The sequence below is a fragment of the Homo sapiens genome, chromosome 14 (genome assembly GCF_000001405.40).
Source record: "Homo sapiens chromosome 14, GRCh38.p14 Primary Assembly".
Classification (NCBI taxonomy): Eukaryota; Metazoa; Chordata; class Mammalia; order Primates; family Hominidae; genus Homo; species Homo sapiens.
The window spans coordinates 74622008-74643223 of record NC_000014.9 but is presented as its reverse complement, the minus strand read 5'-3'; the positions used below and the strand labels follow the sequence as shown (position 1 = coordinate 74643223).

Genomic DNA, 21216 nt, shown 5'->3' with positions numbered 1-21216 from the left:
CCTTGAGGTCACAGCATCACCTCTATTCTGTGTATAACCTCAATCTAATCACAAGAAGACAGCAGACATACCCAAGTTGAAAGATAGACTACAAAATAACTGAGGGGTACTCATTAAAAGAGTCAAGGTCATGAAAGACAAGGATAGACTAGAGAGCTGCCATAGATTAGAGGAGACTAAGGAGACCCAACAACTAAATACCCTGAGCAATCTGAGAGCAGAAAAGGGACATGGGGAAAACAGAGGAAATTAGAAAAGGCCCTGTAGTTTGGTTAATGATACCTATGTTAATTTCCCATGTTAATTTGGTAATTGTACTCTGGTTATGTAAGCTGTTAGTATTAGTGGTTCACATACATCACTGTACTATTTTTGCAACTCTTCTCTAAGTCTATAATTATTTCAAAATGAAATGTTAAAACATGTATTTATTGAGCACCTAATTACCACCAAGCATCTGGGATACAAAAGCTTAGTTGTACAAAGATCACCGTGACAAGGTTCACTCCTGCTTTCAAGTAGCAGTGTTTCTCAAACTTTAATGTGCATTCAAATCACTGGGGTTCTTGTTAATATACAGATTGTGATCTGATATGTCTGTGATGGGCCCCGAGATTCTGTGTTTCTAACAAGCTCCTGGTTGACGCTGATGCTATGGGCCCACGGACCACACATTGAGTAACAATGGCTTGAAGTGCAGTAGGAGAGCAAAACATGCACACACGTGGCCATGATAAAAGAAAGTGAGCTGTGCGGTGACAGCTGAGAACATACGTGACAGGAGCCCCAGACTTCTCACATGGGATCCTGAGCAGAGAGGAATCCTTCAGGCTTTGCGTGCCTTCTGGCCTCAGCCTGGTTCTCGAAAGCGTTGGCCAGTTCTTTCCAGGCTACCTCTGGCTGCAGACTTGCTGGGCCGGGCCAGGCCAGGCTGGGGCTAAGTGTAAAGGGACAGGTGCAGAGTAACTGATGCACTCAGAAATTCCACCAGTGCTTATGAGAGCCAGGCCTGGCCTTGGGGTGCACACATGTTCTCTCTCAGACCTCAGCTGGTCAACACCAGCCCAGCTTTCCCTGGAATGATCCCTCTGACCAGCTCTCAGGCGAGAAATGCTTGTGTGATGTATTGCTCCCCAGGGCTCTCTGGGATCCAAGAATGTACACAAACAGAGCCAGTCAACCCAGACAGTGCATTATTTCTACTGATAAACATATATGTTCTTACAAATATGCTCACAAAATTGCCGAACTATGCTCAGCACCCAACTAGTAGCTTCGGCCACATTCTGCCTAGTGATACCGTTTTGTTCGGATTCTCAGGCCTCCTAAGAGTACCTGTGATGTCCCCTCCCCAGCCAGTCTCAGCTTGGCAAGCTCTCATAACACTCCACCCTCATAGCATCTCAATCCATGCAAAGTCATTCTAGACTTTAAGTCCAGGGAGGCCATACTGTGGGCCGCTGGGACCCGAACAGATAGAATCTTCTCAGTTTAACTCTGCTTCCTGGAAAGGTTTGTAACACATATTCACACAGGGGACTGTGCAGGAAGATGTGCGTGTTCACAAACAGGTAGCAGGTGGCATCTGGGAGTCTGGTTGACAGATTTGTAATCCACAGCCAAGCAAGTGAGCTCTGAAAGATGGGGCCTGGAGAAGGTTGCTGAATCTTTTTTTTTTTTTTTTTTTTTTTTTTTGGCAGAGTCTTGCTCTGTCGCCCAGGCTGGAGTGCAGTGGTGCAATCTCGGTTCACTGCAACCTCTACCTCCCGAATTCAAGTGATTTTCCCACCTCAGCCTCCCACCAAGCAGCTGGTATTACAGGCATGCACCACCACACCCAGCTAAATTTTGTATTTTTAGTAAAGACGGGGTTTCATTATGTTGGCCAGGCTGGTCTCAAACTCAGGTAACCTCAGGTGATGTGCCTGCCTCAGCCTCCCAAAGTGCTGGGATTACAGGTGTGAGCCACCACGCCCAGCCAGTTGCTGAACCTTTAAGGGCACTTGCCACGTGCCAGGTATGTCTCATTTGGCCCTCCCAGACATGCCTTTGGCGGGTGGTGGGCGGGAAGACTCTAACATGGTGTCAGCTGGGAGCCTACCTAGCCTGGAATTTAATTCTTCCCCAGCCCCCAATATTTTTGTGGCTTAAGTGAAGTTGAAGCTTCTCTCTAAGATTTCTGTGAACTCCTACAGACTTGTGGGTCCTTGAGCCCCTCTGCATCCATACCTGCTGGGGCAACCCTGCCATGGTCACAGCAAACCAAACACAACTTCCTCTAAGCAAATCCTGTGATCAGTATGGAGATGGCAGGGAGTTGATCTAATCCTGGCCCTATCCCCAGGGCCTCCCAGGAGATCTGTTGCTGTCCTCCTCCTCTATTTTGATGCTACAGACCCAGTGCAGACCCCACAGGTTCCTGATAAGCTCTGAGTCCTTCCTTGGACTGACAAGTTGGCCAAATGACACTGCTTCAGAGGATAAGCAATCCCTCATGTTCCAAAGATGAGAGCTCTCCTGATGTCCCATTTTTGGGTCCCATGAGACTTCAGGATCATCTTCCAGCCTAAAATTGATGTCTGTTTTGCTTCACTTCTCTTGTCCTTCTTTCAAGTCCAGTAGAGCCCATTCCCTCCAGGAAGCTTCCCCCAACTCCCCCAGCACACAAGGACATCTTCTTTCTTTGACCCTCTGTATCCTATTGTCAAACCCATCACGGGAGGCAGGAGAGGAAAGAGGTTACTGGTGCAGGTTCTGAACTTAGCTGTCTGGGTTCAAATCCCACTCCCGCCATCTGGGTGTTGTGTGACCATAAGCAAATTATTTAGTACTTCCAGGCCTTAGTTTCATTGTCTTTAAAACAGAGGGAGTAACAATAATTCCTATCTCATGGGGTTGTTATAAAGATTAAAAGAGATAATGCGTGTAAAGCTATATAGACTAAAATCTGGCATGCAGTAGCTGCTTAATAAATATTACTTATCAATAGCTATTGATATCAACCATTCAATTAGTACTTAATTTCATACTGCTTTATTCCAAGGGTATCAGGGATGACTTGCTGATGTGAACACAGGAAGAGGTCTCTTAATGATAATTGCAGCAACAACGCATCTCTTGCCAGGCACTGGGTTACGGGCTTACTCACATTATCTCTGGGCTTGAAGAACCATCAGTTAACCAGTGAAATAGTGTGGAAATTGTAGCATGTTATGAGGGTAATTTGGTATTTTTTCTGTTTGTTTGTTGTTGTTGTTGTTTTGTTTTGGTTTTTTGTTTGTTTTTTGAGACAAAGTCTCACTTTGTTGCCCAGGCTGGAATTTAGTGGTGCAATCTCAGCTCACTGCAACCTCCGCCTCCTGGGTTCAAGCAGTTCTCTGCCTCAGCCTCCCGGGTAGCTGGGATTACAAGTGCCCACCACCACACCCGGCTACATTTTTTTGTATTTTTAGTAGAGACGGGGTTTCACCATCTTGGCCAGGCTGGTCTTGGACTCCTGACCTCGTGATCCACCCACCTCAGCCTCCCAAAGTGCTGGGATTATAGGCCTGAGCCACTGTGCCTGGCCATGAGGCGTGTACTTCATTTGAAATGAAGTGCAAGTGCAAATACAGGGTTTTAATTTATTGGGGTGTTTTGGGTTTTGTTTGTTTGTTTTGTTTTGGGCTGTGTAAATGGGGACTAGGAGAACTGGAGGGTACAGATTTGCCAAGGTTTTTTCCAGACTTGTCCAGTAGGAAAAGTGTTCTGATTATTTCCTGAGCAAGATCTGAAAATCTGTCAGATGGAGGATCAGCAGAGCTATCCTGAAAACCTGCCATTTAGGATCTAGGTTGTTCAGTCAAATCTCTCCATTAGACCTAAATGGGGCCTGGAAGCAAGAGGCCTGTCTGGTTGTCAGCTGGTTGTACTCACCATGCCTGTCTCCTTTATTTAAATTGTTAAAAGCAAAGGCAAGCTTGACTCCTAGCTCTCTATTCCTTACAAGCTATGTGACCTGGACAAGTTGCTTAACCTCTCTGAACATCTGTTCCCTTATTTGTGAAATGAGGACAATAATGCTTGTGTAATACTTCAGTCCCCTTGAGGATTAAACAAAATAACATAATCAAGAGCATAGCACAGTGTCTGATACTTGGCACACCAATAGCTATTATTATTTTCCTCATCTTGGGACATGAAAACTGCCTCATAAGCTGCTCTCTTCCCAGAGCATTTGCTTTTTATATTATTTTGTTCCATCCTCTTCTACGTTTCCTAGATAAACTTATTTTGACAAATTCTGCCTTGGCTGAACTTTGGGAAAATGAGCATGTCCATCCCTAGAACAGTGATTGGAGGCTGCCTTTTGAGCTCAGCCACCATGGTGGTAGCTGGAAATCTGGGGAAACTGAGGCAGACAGTGATGCAAAACTGAGGACAGGGCCACTTGGGATGGTGAGAAACAGCTCAGATTTTGTTCTCTTCTCCCTTGGGGGTATTAACCTGTGTTCTTGACTCCCCAACAAATTATAAGCCCCTGAGGCACTCTGCCTCAGTTCCTCTGCCTATAAAATAGGAATAATAATGCTATCAACTTCGTAGGGTTGTTATGGGGATTAAATGAGATAATAAACTTATGTGCTTAGCACCAAAGCTTGGCAAATAGTGTGTGCCCAACAAATACTAGCTTTTACCATTTTATGTGTCCACGAGGCCTAACATCGCTGGGCACACAGTGAGGTTCCCGAATCCTGGACTCCACCCCTCAGAGTTGGTGCTTTTCTGCCCTGACTCCCTGCAGTCCACCTGAGTTCAGCCCCACCTTGTTGATTCCATCGGGAGGTGACATTGAAAACCACAGATGCCATCTGTTGGGGATTCTGAATTGTTTCTGGCCCTTATCAGCAGTGTAAAGGGGGCCAGGTTGCGGACAGCTTAATGAGGAAAACAGGAGCTTAGCGGCTGCCAGAGGGCAACAGAGTGCCGGAGTACCAGCCCTTCCTCTGGAGGAGACACTGTCTGCCCAGGCTCTTGGCTGACGCACGTCGTGAGATCTGACTTCCTCTCTCTGTTTTCTTTTCAATACAGAATAACTTTCCCTACCTCAGGCCCTCACCACCCACTCTCTGGCCCAGCCTCTACCTTGGAAACAGGGTTGAAACATTTGGGAGCTGCCCCATTCATCAGGCATCCCATTTGGATCATTCAACAGTCCCCAGTACTTCCCCACTTCCCCCTTCTCTCTCTCTTGTCCCATGAGGAGTATCCATGGCAAACTCAATAAGACCTAAGATCTTTACCTTCATTTTCTCATTCAATCATTTCTACAGTCCTATGACATAGCTCTTATCCATCCCATTTTTACAGAAGCAGGAGCAGAGTCTCAGAGGTTCAGATCTTTGCCGAAGGTCACACGGCTAGAATAGGGAGCAGCTAGATTTGAATTCAGGCCTTCTGGCACCTGCTCCCTTGTTCCTCTGTACCTGCCTTCCCCTGGGGGAGGATGGCAGGATGGCAAGTGCCCAGTGCTCACAGAGCAGTGTGCTGGATGAGGGGCAGAAGGGAGACGGGGGAAGAAGGGAGGCTACTGTTGCATAGTTTGCCTTAGGACAGCCTTGACTGATGAAACCACCTTCCAGGCTCCAAGAGATTTTTCTCTCCATAGCTGCTCCTGATCTGGCTTAGAGACAATTGCCTCTGCCTTCTTTATCTCTGAAGCCTTCCCCCCAGCCCCACCTACTTGGCTTTTGACTCCTTGCAGGGTTGCAAAGGGGCCTGCAATGCCTGCACTGCCTGTCTCCTGCTTGGGGGGCTCTGGGTTCAGCTGCTGTCTCTAAGCTGGTGGCTGCTTTTGGCTTCTGCTCCAGGAGCTGCAGACGGGCCAGCAGGGGGTCTCCAGAGAGGCCAGACCCTGGAGTTAGTTAAATGAGGACCAGCTGGGTTGAAGCAGGAACGTTTTAGCCTTCCTGAGGCAGACGGAGCCTCAGCCTCAGACCCCTGCCATGCAAGCCCTTTTCCCATCACCCACTCTCTACTCTACTTCTTGGGGCTGAAGTTGTTGATATATTTCAGGCCCTGCCTCCCCAGTCCCTTCCCCCTGCAGCCCTGCTTAGAGGGCCAGCTGACTGCTCTCCCGTCCTGCCTGTCTGCCCTGGTAGTTGCCCTTCAAGCTGGGTAGTAGCTGTAGATATCAGGAGGTGCTGCTGTTCTCCAGGGCTTGGGAAAATATCCTACACTTGACCTTTCCCCCCGGCGGGGAGAGGAATGTTGAGGCCAGAGCTGAGTGGGATCTGCTATCCTGGCAGGCGGCCTGCCTGCGCCTCTGGATGAATGATGGGGATGGGCTAAGAGGGTCAGAGACTCTCCCAGCACAGGCAGAAAAGACTGAGTGCCCCAGACTGGGCCAACCTCTCATCTTTGGGGTCCATTCCCCATGCCAGAGCCCTGGGCTGGCTCTCAAGGCTGTCCCCATCATTCCTGAAACACTGAGCTGTCTGCAGTGTCCTCAGAGTCTGTCACCGCATCACACTCTCTCCAGGGAGGCTGGATTAGCTGCCCAGAGTTAACAGAGAGGGCACTGGGAGGGGGCAATTGTTGATTCTCAGTCTTCACATCTGAAAATGGCAATAGGGCTGGATTTGTGGTTTTCAAGCGGTATTCGGACAAGCCCCAACGTTCCTCCAAGATGCCTCAGAGGCTATAAGGCAAAGGGAAGTATGTGTGTTGGGGTGTTTGGGGAGAGATCAAGGGCGGGCCCCTTTCCAGCCACAGGAGCTCCCCAGTTTCCTGTTCACATCTTGGATCTGACTCCTGAACCCCTGGCAGTCTGGTCCCTGAATCCCTAGCCCCTGCATCCCACACTACTCTGCTTGCCTTGCCTGTGAGTTCCTCCAGCACAAGAGCCTTCCTACCTCCAGGATCTTATGACATCTCCTCCTGACCGTCCTCCTCCATACCTCCTTTCTGAGTTCTGTGCACCCTTCAGATCTCAGCTCCAATGTCATTCCTTTGGGGATACCTTCCCCAAATCCCCTCCCAAGTCTGTATTAGGTCATCTAGCTGCATACGTCTCTTTCTTAGCTCTACTTCAATTGCAGCTCACTGTTGATCTACTTATCTAATTATTTTCCCAGTGTCTGTCTCCTCCACTACACTGTATGCTCACAAGGGCTGGAATCAGGTCTGGATTGCATGCTGCTGTATCCCCTAGCACAGCACCTGGGACAGAGTTGGCATTCAGTAAATATTTGTTGAATGCTGAAACACTGCACAAAGGTTTTGCTCAAAAAAAAAAAAAAAAAAAAGTTGAAAACCGCTGGCCTAGAGGCTCTCTCAGTCAGTCCCCTTCCAATTCCATTTTTTTTTTCTTTGAGACAGTCTCGCTCAGTTGCCCAGGCTGGAGTGCAGTGGTGCGATCTTGGCTCACTGCAACCTCTGCCTCATGGGTTCATGCTATTCTCCTGCCTCAGCCTCCTGAGTAGCTGGGATTACGGGTGTGTGCCACCATGCCTGGTTAATTTTTGTTTTTAGTAGAGATGGGGTTTCACCATGTTGGCCAGGCTGGTCTCGAACTTCTGGTCTCAAGACATCCACTTGCCTTGACCTCCCAAATTGTTGGGATTACAGGCGTGAGCCACCGCGCCCTGCTCCCTTCCAATTCTGCATCCACATCCTTAAAACTTGGATGCAATTACCTTCACCACCAAAATATTTCTGGCCCTCCCCATTAAAACTTTACCTGGCCTTTTCTTAATTTCCATGGTGTTTAGAAGGGAGTGATGTAAACAGTAATGGGAAGAAAAATAAAGGAACTCCAAGAAAGGCAGGGTATTAGCCCCCTCCACCCACTAGAGAAGCAGATGGGGGTGGGGAAGACAGCCATGTGCTGGAAGAAGAGGACAGGGCCCAGCACTCAAACCTCCTCTGAGTCTCAGGGGGTTTGTTTGTCTCAGGACACACCTGTCCCACATCCATTGAGCTGCCTGGCAGGGGAGGAGTTCGCTGCCACTTAGGCTCCAGTGACCATAGCTCTCAGGCCAGCTGTTTCCTTGCCTTTGAATTAGTGGCTGACCCTGTGTTGTCTCCTGCCTGTTCCAAGCAGCCTGGGAGACTTCCAAGCATGTCTTTTACAGGCCAGATGTGTGTCCACTGGCTGTGAATTCTTGTATGGAGAACAGGTGGGTGGTAATTATTCTAGCAGGAGCTGAGCGTGACTGGAAGCTAAGGAGACAATTCTATGGAGCTGTCAAGAACAGAAACAATGTTCTTTTCCTGAGCTTGCTTTTATAGGAGGAGAGGGAGATGCAATCCAGGGCTGTGGCAGGAGCCTTGGCCCCTATGGCAGGTTCTGCAGCGTCCTGGAAATTCCCATCCCCCACCCCATCCATCCCCCACCTCTCTCAATTGACATCCCATGTGTAGAGAACATCTGCTGTGCACATATGCCCAGCACTTCTTCCCTTCCTTGAGTAACAGAAACTCAGCTTTCCTTTGGGAAACTCAAACTCCCCAATTCCATGCATTCCTGGTGGGGCTGCCAGCCACAGGACTCTCCCAACCCTCCATTCTCAAAGGGTGAGCATAGACCCAAGATCTGTCAGACTTTTTCCTGGGGAATTTGAATCTGAGTTGGAGTCATTACCCATAATGGAAGGCAGTTGCTTTAGAATCATCCAAAGCCAGACAGCTCATGAGTTCCCGCTACCCAGACCCCCAAAGCTGCCCTGGTCCCTTCTCAGGCCTGAGTGTTGAAGGCCTCCTTCAGTACCATGTATCTTTCCAACAAATTCTCTTTCGCCACTTATGTTTGCCAGAGCCAGCTTCTGTAACTTGCAGCCAAAGCTGATGTGTATCCCATACGCTTGTATCCCAGCCTTCTTTTCCAGCCCTTTCTCTTTCTCATGTTCTACCTGAAAATCCATTTTTACTTTCCACACCCTGAAAACCTTTATGCCCCCTAACCTTTTTCCCCTGTCAAGAACGCTTAGGAAAGAGTCTATCCCCAATCTTTTTTTTGGGAGGGGGGGCGGCGGGAGGGAGTCTCACTCTGTCGCCAGGCTGGAGTGCAGTGCCACGATCTCAGCTCACTGCAACCTCTGACTCCTGCGTTCAGGCAATTCTCCTGTCTCAGCCTCCCGAGTAGCTGGGATTACAGGTGCCTGCCACCACGCCCAGCTGATTTTTGTATTTTTAGTAGAGATGGGTTTCACCATGTTGGCCAGGATGGTCTTGATCTCCTGACTTCATGATCCACCTGCCTTGGCCTCCCAAAGTGCTGGGATTACAGGTGTGAGCCACCGTGCTGGGTCTTTACCCAATCTTTATACTTCAGAGTAAATGAAAACATTCTCTTTGATCTCCTCTTGGGCAGATGCATTTCTAAGTGCTGACCGAGTGCCTTAGCATCTTGTTTCAGAAATCAGAAGTATTCGTGAAGAGGTGGGAGAGAGATTTCAGGGGGCAGAGTAGACTTTCCCTAAAACGCCCTGCCATGAACCCTGACCCCTTCTCCCCTGCACTTATCCGTCACTTGGATGCAGTGGGAATTGCCTTGTCCCAGACCTGGTCTGTTGGGCAGCTGTTTATATCGGTTCTCTGGGAATTATCCCCTGATACTCATTAAGTTTTGTTCCCACTGGAGTTACCTGCCTCAAGCTGTAAGATCACAATTCCATGCAACTAAGCACCTCCAGTGTGTGTAAGGTTCTGAGTCAGGTGTCTGAGATACAGCTGTTCATGTTTGCAGTCTTGTTGAGCAAACAGAGCCAAACCCACCATGCTGACTACATGAACTGAATGCTGTGGGAGAGCTGAGCCCATGGCCCTAGGATTGCAAAGCAGGGAGGGCTGGAGTCCACCTAGCCTGTCTCTCTCAGCTGGTATATAAATTGGAGTTCTTTTTTTTTTTTTTTTTTTTTTTTTTGAGAGTCTCACTCTGTCACCCAGGCTGGAGTGCAGTGGCACAATCTTAGCTCACTGCAACCTCTGCCGCCTGGGTTCAAGTGATTCTCCTGCCTCAGCCTCCTGAGTAGCTGGGACTACAGGTGCCCGCCACAATGCCCAGCTAATTTCTTTTGTATTTTTAATAGAGATGGTGTTTCACCATGTTGGCCAAGCTGGTCTCAAATTCCTGATCTCAGGTGATCTACCCCTCTTGGCCTCCCGAAGTGCTGGGATTACAGGTGGGAGCCACTGTGCCCAGCTAGAGTTCTTTTCTTATGAGCAATAAGGATTCTAATTTTTATTTTTTGTTATTTATTAATTTATTTTTTGAGACAGGGTCTCGCTCCGTCACCCAGGCTGGAGTGTGTGCCGAGATCATGGCTCATGGCAGACTTCAACTCCCGCGCTCGAGCAGTTCTCCAGCCTCAGCTTCCCAAGTAGCTGAGACCACAGGTGTGTGCTACGACGCCTGAATAATATTTTGATTTTTTGTAGAGATGGAATCTCACCATCTTGCCAAGGCTGATCTCAAACTCCTGGGCCCAGTGATCCTCCAACCTTGGCCTCCCAAAGTGCTGGGATTACAGGTGTGAGCCACTGCACCTGGCCAGGACTCTCATTTGTACATTAAAAAAGAGTAAGGTTACCACAAAGATTTTAGGAGCAAACATAATAGAAATAAGAACTGAACAAGTAGATAGGAAGAATGCCAGGAATGTAGGCAGTAATGAGGCTCCCAGCCCCGGGAACTTTTTGGGGAGCTGCGATTGGATGGTTTAGTTATAACTGTGTGTCTCTGCTTCAGGGCCAAATCATGGGAGAGAATCTGATTGGGCCAGTTTGGGTTGTTTGCCCCATTGCAAATATTGCAACTGGCTGTTCCATCAGACAGCCTAGAAAAGGGAAGAGCAGTTCCCTAAAGGAAAATGGATGCTGGTAGGAGAATAAGAGAGGAAGGATGCTGGGCAGACAGAGCCCGTGATAGTCACAGGCTGGAGGGTGCCACCCTGTCTGCGGGGTGCACTATTCCCTTGTGCTGTTTCCATAGCAACCATAGGCCGAGCAAAAGGCTGGAATCAATGAAAATCACTGGGTGCAGAGAGGGTTCAGTCCTCTTGTGTTATAGGTGGATAAACTGAGGCCCCAAGGGGAGAGGCCACTTGTCTGTGGTCACAGCCTTAGGTTTTCACCTGCAGCCAATGTTGATGCTGAACCAGGAGTGCACAGGGTCAAACTGGATCCACAGGCTCTGCTTCTGGTAGGAATTTTCTGTACCAGAGGTGGGGTGGGGGTGAGGGTCCATATGAAAGCCACTGGGAGGGGCCACCCTGCCTGTGAAAGGTTAATGCAGATGTTCTGTAAATATTTATCCACCTGCGTTGGGCCCACTGGAGCTGGGAGGTAGAGTCAGCACCCCTCCACTTCTAACACCATGCCCAGGATGCAGGCAGAAAGGCCACTCTCGAGTCCCTGGATCCTGGACGTCGGAGAGGAAAAACTACCTGCTGGGGTGATCTGCCCCCTGCACGCACACAAAAGACAGCCCCTGCTGTCTGTCTAGAGCTGTGTCTAGCTCCTGGCTCCAGTGAGGCTTTGTGAGTGATCCTTGGGGCTCCCAAAGTGACCCTCCTCCTGGGTCTCAGGACAGTCCACTGCAGAAGTCACCAGGCTCAGGCCTCCTTCCAGCCCTCGGCTCTCCCCTGCCAGGCCTAGCCAGATCTTCCCAGTCCCAGACAAGCCCTGCCTTAGTGTTTACAGTCTGTGAATACTTGTGGCCATTTCTGCTGCCCTGACGGGGCAGGATGGACTTGCCCATTCCGTCTGCCCTTTTAAGTCAGTCAACTGTCCAGCCTTTGGCTCAGTCCAGCTGTTCTCCTCAGGGCCGGTGCCTGCAGCTGACAACCCCCCTGGGGCCTCCTCCCTCCCCAGGGTTGGCAGGGTGCCTCTGTAGCCCCTTGGCTTTCTCTCCTCCATGCCGCAGTCCCTTGGCATCTTTCTAATCCCCTTTCCCCCAGGAGGTCTTGTTTCAGCCTCATCTGATCAGCCCTCACCTCCCAACCCCTTCTCCTGGCTGTTCCAGCCTCTAGCTTGAGATTCCAGGGGATGGGGAGGGGACAGGCCCTGTTTCCACCACGCTCGGTCTTTTCCCGTCCAGCTGGCATGGGGAGGATCTTCCCTTGCTGGCCTTCACACGCTGTGCCGTTTCCGTCTGCTTCCAGCTCATTAGTGCAGGTATGATGGGAGCCAGACTTGCCTCTTGCCCAACACTGACCTCACGGCTCCTGCTCAGCGACCCCTTCCCGTCCCCTGCCCCAGCTCCCAGTGCTTCCCACCCAGTCTGGAACACTTGGATACAGCACACAGTGTGCGGCCTCCTCCCTACACCTGGCCCCTCCACAGGTTCTCACTCTCTCTCTCAGATTTTCCCTGGCCTGGTTCTCTTTCAGGGTCTGGAAATGGGGAGGCCTTTCTGCCTGGGCAGCCTGTGGATCTAGCCAAACCTTCCTCAGCCAACCCCAAGCCAGGGTGAAAGTCCACTGGCAGGTTTTGTTGGGGCGAGCTAAGGAGGTAGTGAACTCCCAGGGCTGGACAGGACCCCCTCAAATCATCTTAGCCCTTCCAGTGTCTTCTGGGAAACATCACAACCATCCCGGATTGCTGAGCATTTACCAGTTTTCTTGGACAACTGACTTCCCCACTTCCCCTTACCTTTAATAAGAAGAAACGTCACATGAACCGTTTTTTGTTTTGTTTTGTTTTGTTTTGAGACAGGGTCTCACTCTGTTGCCCAGGCTGGGGTGCAGTAGTGCGATCTCAGCTCACTGCAACCTCTGCCTCCCCTGCTCAAGTGATCCCTACCACCTCAGCCTCCCGAATAGCTGGGACTACAGGGCATGCACCACCACGCTCGGCTAATTTTTTGTATTTTTGGTGGAGACAGGGTCTTGCTGTGTTGTAAAGGCTGGTCTCAAACTCCTGAGCTCAAGTGATCCACCTGCCTCAGCCTTCCAAAGTGCTGGGATTGTAGGTGTGAGCCACTGCACTTGGCCACGATCCTTTTTTAATGCGTAGAATCTCTTGCTGCCCTCACTCCCTGCACATACTCACCCACCCAGCCTGTGTTGCACTGACTTATTTTCCACTGCAGTTTTTGTCAACTCCCCTTTTCTTGTGCTCAGTGTGAAGAATACCGCTCACTGTCTTCTATATGGGACAAACAAGCAAATGAAGAAAACGCCTTGGTATAGGTGAAGATCTGACAGAGCCTGCCCTTGGCCTCCTTTTTCTTCAGGCTGAGGGGTTCCAAGGCCTTTCTTCTGGGGACATATAAACTGCCCATCCTGCTGCTCCTTCATGCCTTACCCTCTTGGTTTGCCCTTAGTTATCCCCACCTCTGTTAAGGACTCCGGCAGCTGAGCCTGTACCTCTAGCCCAGGTGGGCATTGAAATGCACATGTGGGTTGTGAAATCACCATAGTGAGTCACAACCAGCATTAAAAACAAAACAGGGCCAGGCGTGGTGGCTCACGTCTGTAATCCCAGCACTTTGGGAGGCCGAGGCAGGTGGATCACCTGAGGTCAGAAGTTCAAGACCAGCCTGGCCAACATGGTGAAAACCCGTCTCTACTAAAAATACAAAAATTAGCTGGGCATGGTCATGGGTGCCTGTAATCCCAGCTACTAGGGAGGCTGAGGCAGGAGAATTGCTTGAACCTGGGAGGCAGAAGTTGCAGTGAGCCGAGATGGTGCCATTGCACTCTAGCCTGGGCAACAAGAGCGAAACTCCATCTCAAAAAAAAAAGTAATTAGTATGAGTTGTGGTTAAAAGGTTTGAAAGCCACTGCTCCCAGCTGACATGTGCTGCTGGTACCATTTGGTGTGGAAGTGGGAACACAGTCATCTGTGAGCCTGATGGGCCCCAGTGTTTCCTTAGATTCAGGGCATGTGGAAGAAAAGACCAGAGAAGGCAAAACCTGGGACACTGTCTCCTGGAACCCAGGGGAGCAATATGGGCTATGGGATGGTTGTTTGTGGAATGGGGGCTGGGGGTGGAGGGGCTGCAGGTCAGATGGTCCCCGGAGTTCCTTTTGGCTCTGAGGTTCTGCTGAGGCCCACTTCACACTACCTTTACCTTTCCCCTCCCACATCCTGGGAGAGTAACCTGAGGTCCCTTGGTTCCAACTCCTCCTGCCACGAAATATAGTATTAGGAAGCAGTGTAGTTCTAATTCCTTGTCACATGGGATGCCCCCTGTGGCTGGGCATGCAGCAGTTCGGAGATCAAGATTGCCATCTGTACAATGGGAAGCATGTACTGTTGCTGTCACCTCCTCCTTCCTCCCCAGCTGGAGTTCTTGTACAGAGACAAGAAAGAAAGATGTTTGACTTGACTTCATGAGGCAGGCTCAAAGCATGCACTTGGCTCTTTTTCCTTCAGCTCTGTTACCTAGCCTGGTTGGCATTTTCCTTGCAGTTTTGGGGCAGTTTCCTCGTATTAATGAATGAGCAGAATGAACGACTGCAAGCTCTGTGAGGGGGCCTGGCACATAGAAGATGCCCAGGAAATGTTGGCTGGGAGAATGGATTGCCTCTTGTGTGTCCTTTTTGGTGACCAGGCAGCACCGTAGCTTGTCAGGCCCACTCTGGGAGTTGTCAAGGATTCCTTCCCCTTTGCTATGGGTTCAAAGTTCATGTTGGAACAATGCCAGCTGACACAGACCTGACCATCAGCAGCTCAAGCAGTGCAGAAGCTCCACACAGCTTTCCAAGTTTTTTATTTTTTAAAAACAGGGTCTTGCTATGTTGACCAGTTCTGAAACTCCTGGGCTCAAGCAGTCCTTTCACCTCAGCCTCCCAAGTAGCTGGGACTACGGGTGCGCACCACCATGCCTGGCTAGGTGCTTTATATCCTCCTCCTCTTCCTATCTCAGGAACCCTCCACACAGTTACCATGAACTTCATCTTGTAGCCTCTCCTTCCCACATCTTATCCCTGGGGAAATGTTGTGTGAGGGTGAGGCAGAGACACAAAGACAGCTGGCCCCACATATTTAAAAAGGAGGACCAGTCCTCCCATGCCATCTCCCTTGCCCTTCAGTCTCTTTCTCCTGGTCTCCCAGGATTACTCAGTTCTCTCCACTGACTTTGGGAAAACCTGCTGTTGTGTGATCACCCACCCCTGGGCTAGCTCATTACTCAAGGGAGCCATCAGAGGTTGAAGGACCCCTACCCAACAGCAGTGAGGTCCCTGGGGCTTCAGGAGGCTGGGCCATTCTGCCTTCCCACAGGTCAAGCTCTCAATGCTTGAGATGAGGAGCCCAAGGCCAGGGGTGGAGAAGAGGTCTTCAGCAAAGAGAAGTCATGAAATCTTAGGAAAACCCTGGGCCTTTCACAGACTCGTACTCCTTAAAGATCTTCCTTCCATGTAGAAATCCCTTCTACAATGCCTCATCCAGGCTCTCTTTGAATACTACCGGTGTCAGAGAGCTCATTCATTACTCAGCAGTGGGATCTGTCCTGCCGTTGGAGAGCTCCACGTGCTGCATTTACTAGAGCGGAAATCTGTATTTCCATGTTTTTGCTGTTCCTAGTCCTGAATCTGAAACTCTATTGTGAACTCCACTGTGATAAATAAAGTACTATTTTTTTTTTTTTTTGAGATAGATTCTTGCTCTGTTGCCCAGGCTGGAGTACAGTGGCGCGATCTCAGTTCACTGCAACCTCCGCTTCCCAGGTTCAACTGATTCTTGTGCCTCAGCCTTCCAAGTAGCTGGGATTACAGGTGTACACCACCATGCCTGGCTAATTTTTGTATTTTTAGAAGAGACAGGGTTTTGCCATGTTGCCCAGGCTGGTCTCGAACTCCTGGGGTCAAGCATCAGCCTGCCTCCACCTCCCAAAGTGCTGGGATTGTAGGGGTGAGCCATCGTGCCTGGTTAATGGAAACTATTAAGTTTCCATTTTATGTGACACCTCGGTGGCTTTGCCTAGAGTTGGCCACAGTTTCCTTCTTTAAAATGTCTCTTTCATCGGGTTCTATGGCACTTCCCCTTTCCACTTCGGACTTTTCTTCATTATCTCCTTTGCAGGATATTCTCCTTTCCCCAACCTTGAAGTACGAAACTCCTCTCTCTTTTTTTTTTTTTTGAGACATAGTTTCACTCTTGTCACTCGGGCTGGAGTGCAATGACACGATCTCAGCTCACTGCAACCTCTGCCTCCCAAGTTCAAGCCATTCTCCTGCCTCAGCCTCCCAGGTAGCTGGGATTACAGGCATGCACCACCACACCCTGCTAATTTTTGTATTTTTTTTTTTTTTTTTAGTAGAGACAGGGTTGTGCCATGGTGGCCAGGCTGGTCTGGAACTCCTGACTTCAGGTGATCCGCCTGCCTTGGCCTCCCAAAGTGCTGAGATTACAGGCGTAAGCCACCTCCTCGCCTGCCCGAAATTCTTTTTTTTTTTTTTTTGAGACAGAGTTTTGCTTTTGTTGCCCAGGCTGGAGTGCAATAGCTCTATCTTGGCTCACCGCAACCTCCACCTCCCAGGTCCAAGCAATTTTCCTGCCTCAGCCTCCCAAGTAGCTGGGATTACAGGCATGTACCACCACGCCCAGCTAATTTTGTATTTTTAGTAGAGATGGGGTTTCTCCATGTTGGTCAGGCTGTTCTCCTGACCTCAGGTGATCCGCCTGCCTTGGCCTCCCAAAGCGCTGGGATTACAGGCGTGAGCCACCACGCCTGGCCTGAAACTCTTAACTCTTATAAAAAAAATTATAGAGGCATATATTGTATATCATATAATCTACCATTTTCAAGTGCATAATTCAATTTTTAGTAAACTTACCAAGTTTTACAACCATCACTGTAAATCAATATTGGAACATTTTATCATCCCAATAAGATGTGATGCCCATTTACTGTTAACCCTCGCCCTTAAATATACTTTTTGTCTCTCTCTGTGACAGAGTCTCTCTGTGTTACTTAGGCTGGATTTGAACTCCTGGGCTCAAATGATACTCTTGCCTCAGCCTCCTGAATAGCTGAGACTACAGGTGTGCACCACACCCAGCTAATTTTTAATTTTTTTTGTAGAGATAGGTTCTTACCAGACCATTTTGTAGAGACAGAGTCTTGCTATGTTGCCCAGGCTGGTCTTGAACTCCGGGCCTCAAGTGATCCTCCCCGCTCGGCCTCCCAAAGTGCTGGTATTACAGACATGAGCCACCGCACCTGGCTTCTGAGCCCTGGATTCTATCCAAGATGGCACTAGACCTTTAAGGAAGTTGTATTGTTAGTTTATTTTGAACCAGTAGCTACCTAGGCTCTCCCTATTCACTGCTGAATAGTTTGCACCACTGTCTCCCCAAATTTGGGTCATTTCACATGAGCTGGTATCAAAACAAGTATCTCTTTTTTTTTCTCTTTTTTGAGATGGAGTCTCTCTCTGTCACCCAGGCTGGAGTACAATGGCGTGATCCTGGCTCACTGCAACCTCCGCCTCCCGGGTTCAAGCATTTCTCCCGCCTCAGCCTCCCAAGTAGCTGGGAGTCCTGAACTCCTGACCTCATGTGATCCACCCACCTCGGCCTCCCAAAGTGCTGGGATTACAGGCTTGAGCCACCACGCCCGGCCCAAAGCAAGTATCTCTTATCCTTAAGTTAATTATTAATTTATCTGGACCAAGATGTAAGACTTTTTTACTTATCTCTATTAAATTTCTAGATAAGATCAGTTTATATTTTGCTTCTATCATCCAGTTTTATCATTTATTCTTCTAGTTCTATGTCATGTGAAAATTTGATAAAAATTATTTTTCTTTTCTTTTTCTTTTTTTTTTTGAGATGGAGTTTTGCTCTTCTTGCCCAGGCTGGAGTGCAATGGTGTGATCTCGGCTCACCGCAACCTCCACCTCCCGGGTTCAAGCAATTCTCCTGACTCAGCCTCCCGAGTAGCCGGGATTACAGGCAAGCATTACCACACCTGGCTAATTTTTTTGTATTTTTAGTAGAGACAGGGTTTCTCCATGCTGGTCAGGCTGGTCTGGAACTCCCAACCTCAGGTGATCCACCTGCCTCAGCCTCCCAAAGTGCTGGGATTACAGGCGTGGGCCACTGCGCCCGGCCTAAAAATTATTTTTCTGATCTCAAAATTGTGAGAAGTTTTGTGTAGGTTACATCCCTGTCTCATGCATGTTTATAGGTCTCAATGACCTCCATTCATTCATCAATGTGGGGAATGGTTGTTTAAACATCTACACATATGCCTAATTGCATTACCATGAGCTCCACATTTTCTCAGCCTATCCACATTGAATATCATTTCCATTTCATTTGAATATCATTAAAAATAGGACAACATTTCTCTGGTCAGGAACCCTATTGAAAAAGGAACTGGGGCTGGGTTCTGTGGCTCACATTTGTAATCCTAGCACTTTGGGAGGCCAAGGCGGGAGGACTGCTTGAGACCTGGAGTTTGAGACCAGCCCTGGGTAACATGGCAAGACCCTGTCTCTACAAAAAATACAAAAATTAGCCGAGCGTGCTGGCGCGCACCTGTAGTCCCAGCTGCTTGGGAGGCTGAGGTGGGAGGATCGCTTGAGCCTGGGAGGCAGAGGTTGCAATGAACCAAGATTGGGCCACATCACTCTAGTAGAGTGAGACTCTGTCTTAAAAAAAAAAAAAGAAACGGGGTTGAATGGGGTGTGGTTTAGTTTGTGTGAACCTGGCTCTGGTAATCACAGCTTTGCCTTCTCTTCCTCAGCCTTTTCACCTTCTCCTGGCTGAGACATGCCCAGCCTTCCAGCCCCAGCTCAGACAGCATCTTCTCTAGGACCTTCCCTGACCATCCTATGCTCCCAGGCTGGATTAGGTACCCTGTCCTTGTATTCACATTGTACCCTGATCTTATCTCACTCACAGCACTTACCATGATATGTACTGTCTGCCTTTCCTACTATACTGGCAGCTGCTTGAGGGTAGGGACCGTCCTTAGCCTTATTCTTCTTGGCAACTCTGATGCCTGACAAAGGGATACTCAAGAAATAATGGCTGAAATGCACCAGGCACTCCTCAGGTATCTGTTTGATGTCAAGCACATAAGGCTTCTCTATCTATGAAGCAAAGCTATGAGGGAGGCCGAAGAGCAGGTGGGCTTGGAGATGTATATTGTGACACCCGGCATGATATAACTTCAACTTGAGCTTATGGGATCAGAGAAGAACCTGAGGCCCAGCAAGAATGAGTGACTGGGGACAAGAGCCTGACTGAGGCTGAGTCCCCAGAGGAACCCGGGGGGTCCAAAGGGAGTAGGAAATTCAGAGAGGGTTTAGAAAAGTGGAGGTAGCTGGGGCAAGGAAGAGACACAGTCTGGCTAGTGGGTCATGGCGGCAGGAGCCCAGGGGCCAGGCCAGAGCTGTTGCACTGGCAGCTCCTCACTTTCTAGAAAAGAGAAGCCATGGGGGGATGCAGTGCTGGGAAGCAGGACTGGGCATTGTTTTAAGCATGGCAAATACCTGTCTGGCATCTGTACGACTTTATGTTTAGATGTTTATTTTGGGGTGGCTTTAGTGAGGGTTGATGAGAATAAGATCATGCTGCTTCCTCCTCACCCAAGTGACCTCCCTGTTAACCAGAAGACATCAGTTTCAGAATTCCAGGTAGTTGTCTGCCCACTCTGGGGCCAGCTGGTGGCTTGGATGTGGGAAAAAGATTCTTTTTTCCTTTTCTTTTCTTTTTTTTTTTTTTTTTTGAGACTGAGTTTTGCTCTTGTTTTTACCAGGCTGGAGTGCAATGGTGTGATCTCAGCTCACTGCAACCTCCGCCTCCCGGATTCTAGTGATTCTCCTGCCTCAGCCTCCTGAGTAGCTGGGATTACAGGTGCGTGCCACCATGCCCAGCTAATTTTTTTGTATTTTTAGTAGAGACGGGGTTTTGCCATGTTGGCCAGGCTGGTCTTAAACTTCTGACCTCAGGTGATCCACCCGCCTTGGCCTCCCAAAGTCCTGGGATTACAGGCGTGAGCCACCGTGCCTGGCCAGATTCCTTTTTCTGAGCGAAGGAGCTCGTTAGAGCTAAGCTCCACATGCATTAGCCCCAGCCTTCCCCTCCAGCCTCCTCCCTTTCCATAACCTTCTTTCTATGGAAACTTCAGCCATACAAGCTTCTTGCAATCCTTCCAGTCACTCAGGATTTGCACGTTCACTGCCTTTGCCTTGGCATGCCCCACCCTTCCCCATATGCTAAACTGCTTCTTAGACTTTAAGATTTAAGTCAGAGGCTGGGCACAGTGACTCACATTTATATTCCCAGCACTTTGGGAGGCCGAGGCGGGTGGATCACTTGAGCTCAGGAGTTCGAGACAAGCCTGGGTAACATGGTGAAACCCCGTCTCTATAAAAAAGACAAAAAGTAGCCAGGCATGGTGGTGTGTGCCTGTGGTTCCAGCTACTTGGGAGGTTGAGGTGGGAGGATCACTTGAGCCCAGGAGGCAGAGGTTGCAGTGAGCTGAGATTGCACCACTGCACTCCAGCCTGGGTGAAAGTAAGACCCTGTCTCCAGTAAAAAAAAAAAACAAAAAACATTTAAGTCAGAAACCAGGCGTGGTGGCTCACACCTGTAATCCTAGCATTTTGGGAGGCCGAGGAGGATGGATTACTTGAGCTCGGGAGTTTGGAACCAGCCCAGGGAACATGGTGAAACCCTGTCTCTACGAAAAATACAAAAATTAGCCGAGTGTGCTGGTGCATGCCAGTAGTCCCAGCTGCTTGGGAGGCTGAGGTGGGAGGATCTCTTGAGCCTTGGTTTGAGGCTGCAGTGAACTGTGATTGTGCCACTGCACTCCAGCCTGGATGACACAGCAAAACCCTGTCTCAAAAAAGATTTAAGTCAGAGTCATGACTTTCTGAGAAATGTTCTCCAACCAAGCCCCTCCTCGCACAATTAGCAGTTTTTCAGTAAGTCCAAAAGGCTGTGTCAATTCCCCTATGGAAGCACTTAACATCACAAAGGGAGTGAAGTTGTCCCCGTGCCTAGCACAGTGCCTGACACATATTAGGTGCTCAAAAAATGTCTGTGGAATGGGAGGGCATCATGATCCCAGCCAAACAGGCTGAATTTTAGAAATGGGTGCTTGGAAGCATCTCAGGCAGTGAAAGGAATTCCAGGCTTCACAAAATAGTGTGCCTGAGGATACCAATACACAACCTGAGACGGAGATTGCGGGTGGGAGGTCTCAGCAGCCAGGCAGGGGTGGATAGTGTGTGTGTGAGTTGCGGGGGGCACTCCATGGAGCAGTGG

General features: G+C 49.2%; 4 annotated features.

Annotated features, from left to right (window-relative positions):
• Positions 7884-8178: a silencer, noted in NCBI's record as "tiled region #14689; K562 Repressive non-DNase unmatched - State 24:Quies". NCBI's record gives its function as "represses a minimal TATA promoter and a strong SV40 promoter by Sharpr-MPRA in K562 cells {active_cell/tissue: K562}" and the evidence as "EXISTENCE:reporter gene assay evidence [ECO:0000049][PMID:27701403]".
• Positions 11182-11830: an enhancer, noted in NCBI's record as "H3K27ac-H3K4me1 hESC enhancer chr14:75098097-75098745 (GRCh37/hg19 assembly coordinates)". NCBI's record gives its function as "activates a minimal SCP1, AML or CMV promoter by ChIP-STARR-seq in naive H9 embryonic stem cells {active_cell/tissue: H9 hESC(naive)}" and the evidence as "EXISTENCE:reporter gene assay evidence [ECO:0000049][PMID:30033119]".
• Positions 11831-12480: an enhancer, noted in NCBI's record as "H3K27ac-H3K4me1 hESC enhancer chr14:75097447-75098096 (GRCh37/hg19 assembly coordinates)". NCBI's record gives its function as "activates a minimal SCP1, AML or CMV promoter by ChIP-STARR-seq in naive H9 embryonic stem cells {active_cell/tissue: H9 hESC(naive)}" and the evidence as "EXISTENCE:reporter gene assay evidence [ECO:0000049][PMID:30033119]".
• Positions 20166-21032: an enhancer, noted in NCBI's record as "H3K4me1 hESC enhancer chr14:75088895-75089761 (GRCh37/hg19 assembly coordinates)". NCBI's record gives its function as "activates a minimal SCP1, AML or CMV promoter by ChIP-STARR-seq in primed H9 embryonic stem cells {active_cell/tissue: H9 hESC(primed)}" and the evidence as "EXISTENCE:reporter gene assay evidence [ECO:0000049][PMID:30033119]".